Consider the following 12625-nt stretch of genomic DNA (forward strand, 5'->3'; position numbering starts at 1 on the left):
TCCTTATATTCCAGGAAAGGGCTAGGAAGTAGGGCAAAGCTTCCTGTCTACACCCCTTGGGGACCTCTTGTCAGTGGCTTGGAACCCTCTTTTCCTAGAGCCCTCCACTTCTGACCCAGCATCTCCTACCCTGTTCTTGCTCCCATGCCCACCCCTACTGGTCACTTACTTGCAGGAGAGCTGGTTGATGCCCTCGATGTAGTAGCAGACGCCTCCATTGACGCAATAGGACTTGGCTGTCTCGTTGCACTTCCGGGCGTGCCCCGACCAGGATGACAGGGTGGTGCTCACTGAGGGTATGAGAGACATGTGCCAGTGACGCACTGAGACTATCCCTAGGCCCCAGGAATCATCTCCTTCATGCCCCACGTCAAAACTGGAAGATGACCAGAGGCTGCAGGAATGACTGGGGAGGGGAGGTCTGGTGGTCCCTTCTAGTCACAAATAAGGCAAAGGAGAGGCCACCATGAGCTCTGCCCGTTTACCCAGTGCAACCTTGCACCCAAGCTCTAGGCAAACTTCCAAAGGCCAGGAAGATTTTCATTCTTTTGTGGGGGGAGCAGGGTGAGAAGACAGCAGGAACTGCTTCCTCTGCTGAATAAGGGCCCACCTCTCCCCTTCCCTGCCTGGCTTTCCGGGGGCTCCCCTGCAAGTGGTTGAAATGCTGATGTCTCATGTGGGGAACAAACGCAGGAGGCGGTGCAGGAAAGAGACACCTACACCCGCCTGCATGGCTTGGGCTCTCATGGTGGACCAGGGAGTGGCTGGAAGGGAGCTGGGCCTTCAGGGGATGGCACCTTTAGGACACGGTCATTTTCTAAGATCTGGAGAGATGTTGGGGGTAGGAGGAACCCTAGCTTCTGCTCTCTTCCCCCATTCTCCAAGGTCTGGGCTAGCTCCAGGAATGCTTCAAAGGCTACTATGCCCCATCTCCATAAGCATCTGGGGTCTTCTCCATATCTCCCCACCCCAGACAGCCCCCTCCTCCCTGACCTTATCAGCTGTTGCCCCTAGAGGGAGCCTCCAGGTCTCGGACAGCCCCAGCCATAAATCACGGGTTTCAAGTTGTTGGGGAGGAGACAGGGCCAGGGAAAGGGAAGGGGGCAGCTGGGGTGCAAAACTGGGGGAGAGCAAGGCTGGGCCTTAAGGCTTCTAGCACAGACTGCACGTCCGATTGACTGGACTCATTTGAGAAATGAACATCACTGAAGCTCTGCTCCTCATCAGGGAATGGCATCCAGAAAGCTAGCTTCAAGTGAACATTCTCGCCCCAAACATCAGTTTTAGATAATGCCCCATCCAATCCGGACTGGACAGCCAGAAGCAGGTCCTGCTCCCCTCAGCTCCCAGGGCCTCTGAGGGCCTCTCGTTCCCACCCAGCCCAGCAGTGGCCTCCTGAATGAGGTGGCCCAAGCTACCCCAGCTGGCCCTGTCTCCTCAGGGGTACTGGGTCTCTCCACTCCCCTCAGTAATAGGGGTGGAAGTGAGAGGAGGAGGAGGAGGGCAGGCAGTCGGCACCCTCAGTGTTTAGACATGTGGGGAGACGGATGGAGCACAGGGGGCTGGGAGTGTATACACAGCTCTGCTTCTGTATATGTCTGAGGAGCATGCTGATAAAATCCAGCGGGCAGGGCCGGCTTCACCATCCCCTCCACATCATGCCTGCTGCTGAGCTGGCATCCCGGAGCCCCACCCCTGCTGAGGTCTCCCTCCTCGGCTCAACCCCAGACCCAGCTGGAACCCACGTGCTGGCTGGAACTAGAGACCTCCTGCTGATCTTTGCCCCACTTCTGGGTCAGTGAGACCCAGGGAACTAAGAAAGGGACAGAGAAGAGAAGCAGCTGAGGTACCACGCCTGCCACTTGTAAAATCCCCTTGCTGGGAGAACCCTCGAGGTTGTCCTGCCCTTCATTTACATCACACAGGAGAGTGGAGAGAGAGAAGGCAGCGAAGTGTCTGGCCAGAGTGCAGTGTGTGTTGCAACAGAGCCTCAGGGCTCCTAGCCCCTGGCTGTACATCCTCCCCATCAGCACCCAGGCTTGACAAAAGCAGACGAATGCAAGCGCAGTGAGGACTGCAGGCCTGGGCCCTCCTGTGGGTGTTGGCTAAGCCAGAGAAATCTCAGCCTGGATCTGCCAGGCCCAGCCTGGTGTCCTCTGCAGTTGCGGGTGGCACAGACTGCCCACTGCTGTGCCCATTGTTTCACCCCAGTCGAGTGAGCAGTGGACAGCAGGGAGGATGCTGGGTTGGCCGGGGCCACAGTTGCACACTTGGGCTTCTCACATATATGTCTGTGCTCATCGAGGCTTTGGGAGGCTAAGGACAACTCCTGAGGAAAGATGGGGCCTCCCCAGCCGAATGCATTGAGCCTGCGCTGCCAGTATCATGTTGTCATGGGGACGAGGCTGGGACCCCGGGAAGGTAAAAAGGGAAGACATTTGGGGAGCCAGTCACAGAGGGTGTGGGGAAAGAGTGACCACGGGTGTTTCCATCTCAGAAAGGCCACTCCTCTGTAATGGCAGGGCCTTCCCAAGATACTGCAGCCCAACTCTGCCAGTGGCAAAGCCATACTCCAGGGAGATTTCCACACGGAAGAGCTGCGCTCACGCTGTAGCGCAGTTACACTGTTCTAGCACGCGTGGGCTCCTGAGGCAACGTGTCTATACACCCCTGTCAGCGTATCCATATCTCTCACTATGGTTGCCCGTGTTTGGAGAAGTGAAGGTGACGTGGACTCTCCCTTTACACCTCCACGAGGATGGCTCACAGCACCCCAAACTCAACAAGTCCAAAACTGTGCTCTGCACCATCTGCCCTACCCACCTTCTTCCCCAGTCTTTCCTATCTCCGTGACCAAATGGCACAAACCAAAGTCCTAGAGGGCATCTTTGATTTCATCCTCCTTTATTCCCCTATAGCCATCTGTCACCAAGGGTTGCCATTTCCACTTCCTCAAGAGACTCCATCCATGTCTTGCTACCTCCTCCCCTAGTCCAGGCCACCATTGTCTCTTTCTTTGATGGCCACAATAGCTTCCTCTCTGGTCTTTCTGCCTTCACTCTTGCCTTCATCTCCTTTACTTTGCAGCAGCCACAGTGGTCTTTAAAATATGTAAATTGTATCAATCTTTTCTATTACCAAAGCTCTCCAGTGGCTTCCATTTGCACTCAGAATAAAGCCCCCAACTTCTTCCCAGGTCTTATCTGGGCTTCACCACCTCTCCCACTTCATCTCCCATCTTTCTCCTTCAGTATATTTCAGACTATGCTGGTCATAGTTCTGCTCCTTTAATAAGCCAAGTAGTCTCCTGCCCAGGATGTTCAAAATACAACAAGTGTCTCAGGGAGGCCTCACCTGACTTCTTAAGCTGGTCAGGCTCCTCCCTTATTCCCTCGCTTAGCTTCATATACTTCTACTTATAGCTATTCTAGCATAATTACATGACTAAGTGTGCAACTGTTTGCTTTCTTTTTTCCCCAAGACAGAGTCTTGCTCTGTTGCCCAGGCTGGAGTGCAATGGTAAGATCTCAGCTCACTGCAACCTCTGCCTCCCGGGTTCAAGCAATTCTCCTGCCTCAGCCTCCCAAGTAGCTGGGATTACAGGCATGTGCCACCATGCCCAGCTAATTTTTGTATTTTTTAGTAGAGATGGGGTTTCACCATGTTGGCCAGGATGGTCTCGATCTCCTGACCTCATGATCTGCCTGCCTCAGCCTCACAAAATGCTAGGATTACAGGCTTGTGCCACCGTGCCCAGCCAACTGTTTGCTGTTTAATGCTTAGTTTCTTCACTAGAATGTAAGCTCCATTAGGGCAGGAGCCATGTCTGACATGTTTACCCTGAACCCCAATGTCCAGCATGGTGCCTGGCACATAACAGGTGCTTAACAAATATTTACTGAATGAATGAATGAGAAAATAAATATCTTATTCTTTGGGGGAAAAAAGTGCCCTGTGCTACCATCCCAGGGACTAGTCTGGTATCCTTGGCTGATAATATCATCTTTTTGGTAGATTAAAGGACTGTCTCCTTTAAATGCAAACATTCCAAAAAGGTCATTAGGGGAATGAAAATCAAAGCCACAATGAGACCAAGCCAATGGCTGGCTCACCCCCGTAATCCTAGCACTTTTGGGAGACCAAGGCAGGAAGATCACTTGAGACCAGGAGTTCAAGACCAGCCTGGGCAATGTAGCAAGACCCCATCTCTATAAAACATACACATACGCACACACTCTGAGATACCACTTTCACTAGGATGGCCAGAATCAAAAAGAAGGATAATAACATGTGGTGGTGAGGATGTGGAGAAATTGGAAGCCGTATGCATTGCTGGTGGGAATGTAAAATAGTGTAGCTGCTTTGGAAAGCAGTCTGGGAGTTCCTTTAAAAATTAAATATGGTCATGATGTGCTCCAGAAATTCCACTCCTAGGTGTATCCCCAAGAGATTGAAAACCTATGCTCACACAAAAACTTGTGCCCAGATGTCCACAGCAGCATTATTAATAACAGCCAAAATGTGGAAACAATCCAAATGACCCAAGAATCCAAATGACCCAAGAATCCAAACTTATGAGTGGATAAATAAAATGTGGTATGTCTATACAGTGAAATAGTATTTAGCCATAAAAAGGAATGGAGTACTGATCCATGCTACAACACGGATGAACCTTGAAAACATTATGTTAAGTATAAGAAGACAGTCACAAAAGGCCACATATTGTATGATTCTATTTGTATGAAATGTCCAGAATTAGTGGTTGCCGGGGCTGGAGAGGGGGAGAAATGGGAGTGGCTGCTAAAGGGCATGGGGTTTCTTTTTGGGGTGACAAAAATGTCCTAAAATTAGTGGTGATAGTTATATAACCTTGTGAATATACTAAAAACCACTGAATTGTATACTTTAAAAGGGTGAATTTTATGGTATATAAATTATATCTCAAAAATTAATTTAAAAAAGCACCCGGGAGGAGTAAGCCCAGGAAGTTTTGATGAACCGTTAGTGTCTTGGTGTGAGTTTATCAGGGCCCCTGAAGAGTGACAGTGGCGGGGTGGGAGCCGCTGCTGTGGAGCTGCGTCCCCGACTGCCCACAAGTGCAGCTGCTTTTCACCTTTGCTCATGGAGAAAACTTCTGCTTGTCCTTCAAGACTCAGGTCGAGTGCTCCTTTATCCATCGAGGCCCCTTTCCCTTTGATAAATTGCCTACCTTCCTCTCAGTTTGTTAGAAAAGGCAGACCTTTTAGAGTTCGGGTTTTAGTTTCCTGCCATTTGAGGGACTTTCTTGGGGGCCAAGACTGCGACTTCCCAGAGCTCAGAGCAAGATCTTGTTGAATAAGCGCTTCTGAATGCGTGACTGACATGAATGTGCATCTGTGTGTGTGTGTGTGTGTGTGTGTGTGTGTGTGTGTGTTTAAACAGCCAGCTTTTGCAAGACTCCAGGTAAGAGACTGGCCCAGAGGCCTCTCCAGGGCTTCCATGGTCCTATGACACCCCAGGTCAAACCTGCCTGTCCTCTGGGGCAAAGCCTGACATCAGGGGCTGGTACAGCCACCTCAGGACATTCCCAAACTCCCTTTCACCTGGGATGAGACATCTGTTTCTCTAACTCAGAAGTGGGTTGGACCAAGCTATTGTGTTAGCACCGCAAACTTCCTGCCGACTCCTCCTGCCCGCCAGTTCAGGAAGGCAGGAGCCTCTTGTGAGCTGGCAGAGCTCTGACTATAAGGAAGGCCTACTCTAATTTGTGGAAGGAGCCCTGGGCTCCACCTGAACAGAGCAGTAGCCACTCAAGAGCCAAAGTGATGCCACCCGAGCAGCCTGCTGCTCCCCAATGACCTCCCTGTACCCTCTTCTAGCTGCCCTATCCCTGTAGCCCTGGTTTCCCTTCGGCCTGGGCGGGCCAAACCAACCCACCTTGGGATGAGTCAGAGGGGGCAGACCACAGGGTGTGGTTGCTGCAGGTCTCATGGGTTCTGTGGATAAACAAGGAGCCTGGGCATCTCTGCCTGGGAAAACATCCCCAGCAGGGGCCTCCTGGTCCCCAGCAGTGGCCCTGTTCACCTGTTCAAGGGTAGGCTCTTGCCTGCCATGGACTGCACATGGTAGCAGAAGTGGTGTGGTATGTGTTTGTGTGTGTGCGTACTGGTTAGGTGCACAGGATGTCAGCCTCAGCATCAAACTCAGAATCCCCGAATTTTAGAGGGAAGGGGGCTTAAAGATCATCTAGTTCAGCCCCACAACGGGAAAACCAAAGACTGGTGGGGTGAAGTGACTTACTCAGGGTTGCATGATGTAAAGCTTGGACGAGACCAAATCTCCAAACTCTTTCCCCTGCTCTGCCCTGCCGCTGCCCTGGAGGGTCAAGAGGCAAGAAGGCTGCAGGAAGCTGGGATTCCAGATATGCCCTCAGTGCCCTGCCCAAAGGTGCCACGGTCTGGTTCCTAAACTGATCACAGCATGGCCTACGGAGGGCTGACAGTAATCCGTGTGTGGGAGGGGACTGCAGCTTATCTGAGGGGTCTCACCACCTCTGGCCACAGGCCCCAAGCCCTGTGCAAGAGAGAGGGCACTCCTGTGGTTTTCTGCACAGCAGCCGCTCCCACTTTCTCTGCTAACAGCACCCCTTCGGGGAAGTGCTTTTCCATGGAGTTCTGACCAGGCCTTCACTCACAGTGCCCTGCCTCTCAGTAGCCCCTGTGCACACACAGACAGGCCAGGCAAAGATGGCCCCACCCTCCAAGCACAGTGACTGGTCAAGTGGGTCACATGACCTGGCAGGGTCATTCAGAATCCATCCTTGTGACTGTACTTATGGACACAGAGACAAAGCCATCTCTTTTCTCCGGGTGGTGGGCTGGGATGGGGTAGATCTGGACCTGTCTGAGACCATGGCCTCCTCTTCCCACCCCACTCCCCAAACATGAGAGAGGCCCATTTTACAGTAGGAAAGAATGAGGCCAACACATAGTGAGAGAAACTGTCTTGAGCCATCCTATGAGTTCTTGGACTCTTCCTCTGAGTTCTTAGATTCTGTCATGCCTGGGGCCAGTTCCACCTCTGAACTTACCAGTTTTATAAGCCAATAAATAAATCCCTTAAGATAGGCTTAAGTTAATTCTAGTCAAGAAAGTCTTGACTAATAAAATAGGAAGGCCCCAAATCCAAAGTGGATCTGAGAATGTCTGACCACTACAGCAGAGGTGGCAGGTGCTAGACCCCAGACACAGCCCACCTTCCCAAACTTGGGATAGGATGAGAGAAGTAGGAGCTCAGACACCCTCCCTGCTGTCATGCCCAGGCTGGGCCATAGAGGAGGCAGTAAAGACCTTGGAGCAGGTTATAAGTTCTCTTATATAATATTTACCAGGCACCCACTGTGAGCCAGGTGCTGTGCTAGACCCTGAGGCTAGGGTGGTAGACAGACTAGACATAGCCCCACAGAGCTCAAAGACTAAGTGTTTGCCAACTACTTTTACATCGTACAGCTCTATCATTAACTAGGTGTTTGACTTCAGGTGAAATATTTAATCTCCCTGAGCTTCTTATTGTTTATAAAATATATCCTGGCTTTGAGTATGGGTTCATGGGATAATGTGGAGCTTGGCTCAATAAATACTGGCTATGATTGTAACTTCCAGGAGAAAGCATCCTCCCTGTTCTCCCCTCTCCTGAGGCTCACAGATTCACTGGGATGGCCACGCCCACAGAGAAAGTTCAGCAATAGCATGAGAGTTGAAGGCTAATCAAAGGCTAGAATTCAAGAGATGCCATCAGAGCATGGTTGGCCAAGGAGTGGCCCAGGAGTGGAGCCCTAGCTGGGAGAGACGCTGCAGTGGGTTGGGATGGTCAAGGAGGAAGAGATGAAGCCATGGCCTCCTCTTCCCACCCCACTCTCCGAACATGGGAGAGGCCCATTTTACAGTAGGAAAGAATGAGGCCAACACATAGTGAGAGAAACTGTCTTGACCCATCCTATGAGTCAGGATGGCACAGGAGCAAGAGTAAGAATGGAATGGACAAGGGACTGATGGAAGTTAGGCTGGAAAGATCATTTAGGCCAGGGTGTTGAGAACAAAGTCCCTGTTCTGTAGTTCTATGGGGTGGGGAACATGACAGGATAAAAGCACCTTAGGAGGCTGCTGCTCTGGTTCAGGTGACTAGGGATGAAACCCAAGCCAGGGTTACCCTTGAGGTATAGTTAGAGCAGAAGAGGCAGGTGTGAGAAAGATCCAGAAAGAAGACTGGCAAGGACATGGAGACTCAGACTTATTAGACACAGTGGCAAGGGAGACCAAGGAGCACAAGGGGCTGGGAGGACGGGGTGTCCCTCACCAGGACAGGAAGACAGGGTCTGAACTAGGTTTTTGTCTGAGGGTCATAGGGCAGAGAGTGTTCCAAGTAGTCTTTTAGACCATGCTAGGTTTAGGGCATATTGGGAGGCTGTCTGGTGGAAATAGAGGCAGGTAATGACAGATACAGGATTATATTCTGTGATGAGCAGGACTGGAAGTGAACCCCAATAAATAGGTAGCCACATGCACACTCAGTCTGTGTGTGTTGGGGGGAGGAGAGTGATCTGTGGGATTTAAGGTACTCAAGCTAGAGTGGAGAGGGCACTGCCTGAGGACAGGTAGTTTTGGCGGAGAGGCAATCTCCCAGTCAAGGGAAAGAACCAGGGCCTGAGAGGGCAGTGCAGCAGGAAGGCAGCCTCTACCCTGAGGCTGGGTCTGCCACTGTAGAGACGAGAAGGTAAGAGGTGCCGTGAGGTCCTGACCTTGCAAGACTTCAAGGAGTGAGGATGGCCTGTCGGGGAGGAGTTTGCCCTCCCTGAACAGAGGCTGCCACCAGGGGCCCCAGGCATCCAAGCTGCCCACCCATGGCCCAGTGGAGATGGCTGCCTGTGCTCAGGTGCCCAGCAAAGCAACAGGCAATAGGCAGTCAGCTTGTACATGCCCCAGGCCTGCCTCTCCCTGCAGCCCCACTCCTGGCAGCCCAGCCTCCTATAATTGCCTTCTAAAAATATCCTTTCCCCACCCCCACCTCTTGATTTCAAAATATTTAGTTTTCAGGGTATTTAAAATGAGAGCTGGCGGCTCTTCCAGGCCCAGATAACAAAGCTAAACATTTATGCTTCGACTGCATTTCTCTGAATCGGCTGAGATCTAGGGCTTGATATGGCAGCAGCAGGAGGGAGGGGAGTTGAGTGCGAGATGGATCACATGCAGGCCCCAAGGGCTGGGGGGCCACTGGCCCGCCCTGCCAAACCCCTCTAGGACCCTTCCCTCTGTCTGGGCCCACCTACCGCTGTTGACGTAAAGCCGGCCCCGGACGGTGTCCTTCCCCAGGATGTTCTCGGCCTCGCAGACATACTCCCCAGCGTCCTCCACCTTCACCTTGTTGAACTGTAGTCGTGAGTTCTTTCTGGTTAGGGAGGGGATAAAAGGGGGAGAGGCGTGAGCCAGGGCCGGCTGTGGCTCCCCAGCAGTCACCCAGCGGTTGCCTCTCTCCACAGAGCCACAGTGGCCCTGCAGCTTAGATGGGAAGGAGATTCCCTCCCCCCAGCAATTTCTGGAGTCCAGGTGGGGCACGGAGTCCCTGCAGCTGCAGGGAGCCTTGGGCCCTTAGGACAACACAGGGCAGGACTAGTGGCTGCTCACATGTCCTAAATCTATGATCCCTCACATCCGCTCTTCTAGGGCTGGACCATTGTAACATTCTTCTGGGGGAGTAAAGCCAGGCCCTGTAGGAAGTCACATGGCCACCTCCCTCATTCCCAGCTGCCTCTGCCTCTCCTGGGAAGTGGCAACCTGTCATTCTGGGTATGCAAGACCTGTTCCCAGATACCCGGGAGGGCAGCTGTCCTGACGGATTCCCATGGTGATGGTGCCCAGACTCCTAGTCCAAACCTGGGGCTCTCCCTTGTTCTCAAAATCAGCGCTGCCACTAAGGGGCACTCTGTGGCTTCTCCAAGGGGTTTTTGTTTCATTCATTCATTCAACAAATGTTTACTGAGCACTTCCTGTGTGCCAGGAGCTTGTACACCTTGGGGAACAAAAAGATCCTGGACTTGATCCTCAGGGCCAAACTGGGTGTTCTCTGCTTACAGAAGGGAAAACTGAGTCCTAGAGGGACTTCCTGACTTGCCCAAGGGCACTCGGCAAGGCAAAGGCAGAGGTATGCCAGGAGCTGCAGTTCATGAGGACGTGGGCTATCTCTGAGAAAAGCTGGGGCTAGCCCTGAAGCTTTGCACCTAGTCCCTGCATGCTGAGAACTGTGTAGGGCACCTGGCCTTGGTCCCCCTCTTCTTTCTGAAGCCCCAGCCAAACCTCTCCTTCCTTCTCAGAGTTTCCCTGCACCTACCCCAGGGTGCTTAGGCTCTGCAAGGGCCTGTTCACAGCCCTCACCCCTTCCTCTGCCTCCAAGGGCCAGCATGAGCTCTGGATAAAGCCTGGGATCCCAGGCTGGCCCCCAGGAGGAAGCAAGAAGTAACACGGTAATTTCTGCACATGGTATGATCACCTCCTCTTTTTAGTGCTGAATTAAAAAGCCAGATTTCCAGCCTATGTGTAGTGGGCTGGAGAGATGGGGGAATACGAGGGAGGGCAGTAGAGCCATCATTGCCCTGAGCCTAGGGGATGTAAAACTGAGCTATGGAGCTGATGGGGTAAGGAGGCTGAGGAGAGGCAAGCAGATAGGCTGGGCCAGGGTCAAGGAGACGCAAACTGGCCCACAATCCCTACCTGGGCTGTCTCCACCTCTGATGGGGAGCCTCTTCCCAGGCATCCTGGCATCCTTACCCCAAGGTCCTCCCAACAAGGGTGCTACAAGATGGTCTTGTCTATAGACCCTATTGCTATGGTAATGTCCTTGCTGATGCTGTGGTGACAGCTGCTTAACTATACCATATTCTTCCTGGCTCAAGCTGGTCTCTGTCTCCTTGGCCTGGTGCCGGCCCACAACCCTCTTCTGTCAATTATAATTTGTTCCCTTCATTAAAGAGAGCCCTGGAGGCCCCTCTGACTAAGACAGCATCTCTTTCCCTGCTCCAGCCAAATTAGATGCCACAAACTCCAGCTTGCCCAGGGTATGGCTTCTCTCACTTCCCTGTGCACACACCAGATTAGCAGGGAAGGGGGATCGCCTGAGGGTCCGGGGGTGGGGGTGTTGATGCACAGGGGACTCAGAGCCAGATTCTCCTTGTCACCCCCCTGGAATTCAGAGGCGCTTCCCTTATACAGCATCATATGTAGCAGGACGTGGCAGAATGTTAAGGAAGGATTCCCCACATGCAGGCATGTGAGACCTGGAGAAGGCAGGCACAGGTCTCTAGGAGTGCCCCTTCCTTCTGAGGAACAAGAAAGAGGCAGGGGACAGAGATAATGACCCTGAGGCTTGCTGCAGATGTCCTAGGTTAGCAGCTGTCTGATGATTTCATAGAAGCCGGCCCCAGAGATGCACACGGGGCTCTGGGTCCTGGCTAAGGGGCAGGGCTCTGAGGGTTTCTCAGCCCCTGCAGGAACTGGAGTCACCACCTTCTCCCTCCTCACTCCCAGCTCCAGGTGGAAGCCTGAGGATCCAGGACTCTCCTGTCTCCCTGGCAGGCCGCGTGCTGTGCTCTGCTCCTGGTGTCCCATCACATGCTGACCCAAGTTTGCCCTGAGATGGTGACCACGCCCTCCCCCCTCCCCCCTACCTCCCCAGCTGGTTCTCTGCTGGCAGGGACAGGATCTGGGCAGCTGTGTCCTCCACATTTTCCTCAGCGCCTACCCCCGCCCCCCGCCCCCTGCCTGCTCAAGGGGCCTGTTCCAGCCTGCCCCTCATAAACAAGGGAACATGCGATTCTGCAGGGAAGGCCCCGTGCCCAGGATTTGGGGGGGCAGTTTGCTCCTGGCACAGGAAGGCTTGGGTGAGATGTTTCAGTGCAGTGGGCACAAAGACAGACAGCACCCTCTGAGGAGGGGTCTCTACAGGTCAACAGAGATGCCCAGACAGAGTGCGGCCCGGGCAGGGAGAGTGCTAGGAGGTAGGGGAGCCAGCTGTTGTGTGGGCAGACAAGACAGAGAACATTTTGCCAGAAAGCAGACTCCTGCCACTGCCCCTGGCCCCTCTACTAGGTGAGATGTGTAGTGTAGGATGGGTAGGTGTGCAGGTGGCCGTTCTCTCTAAGTCACTCCGAGGGCGCCTTGGTCGCAGGGAGTCAGAAGTTCTCTATGATGGCCCACTCCTCCACCACTGACAACTCACTGCTGAGAGCCCAGGGGCAGAACAGGGAGAACAGGGAAGTTTCCAGATGCAGCAAATGGGGCAGGGCCCTGAAAGGTAGGGAGCAGGGGGCACACTTTAGACTCTTAGGGGTCCATAATACCCAGGAGGAGAAGACCAGTCCCTGTTTCTGGATTCTTTAGATGAAACTGAGGCTTAACCAGGACAGTAACTGGTTCAGAAGGCTAGAACCATCCAAAAGGTCTCATGCCCAGTCTCAGTGGGACTCTACACCCAGGAGAGGAGGGCTAGTCCTGCAAGATTCTCGTCAGTTCAGCCCTCAGTGTAGAGCTCTCTGTCAGGTTCTATAGCGGAGAAGGGGGTATCTGGGTACAGGGATCCAGGCTTTGAGGCTCTCTCA

The 12625-nt window shown here is 53.0% G+C and overlaps 1 protein-coding gene across 8 annotated transcripts in view, besides 1 other annotated feature; it reads right to left on the reverse strand.

The window, feature by feature from the left end:
* The window catches only part of NRG2 (neuregulin 2), a 196519-nt gene that overhangs the window by 24771 nt on the left and 159123 nt on the right, over positions 1–12625 (reverse strand). For 7 of the 8 annotated variants that reach the window (NM_013981.4, NM_013983.3, NM_004883.3 and 4 more), the window contains exons 3-4: positions 9305–9423; positions 170–290 (exon numbers count right to left, since the gene is read on the reverse strand). In NM_013981.4, the coding sequence (NP_053584.1) occupies positions 170–290; positions 9305–9423 (240 nt within the window). The remainder of the gene's footprint in view (positions 1–169; positions 291–9304; positions 9424–12625) is intronic. The other variant, NM_001184935.2, reaches the window with a different exon arrangement.
* Positions 8365–9128: an enhancer, noted in NCBI's record as "H3K27ac-H3K4me1 hESC enhancer chr5:139259501-139260264 (GRCh37/hg19 assembly coordinates)". NCBI's record gives its function as "activates a minimal SCP1, AML or CMV promoter by ChIP-STARR-seq in primed H9 embryonic stem cells {active_cell/tissue: H9 hESC(primed)}" and the evidence as "EXISTENCE:reporter gene assay evidence [ECO:0000049][PMID:30033119]".

The sequence above is a fragment of the Homo sapiens genome, chromosome 5 (assembly GCF_000001405.40).
Source record: "Homo sapiens chromosome 5, GRCh38.p14 Primary Assembly".
NCBI lineage: Eukaryota > Metazoa > Chordata > Mammalia > Primates > Hominidae > Homo > Homo sapiens.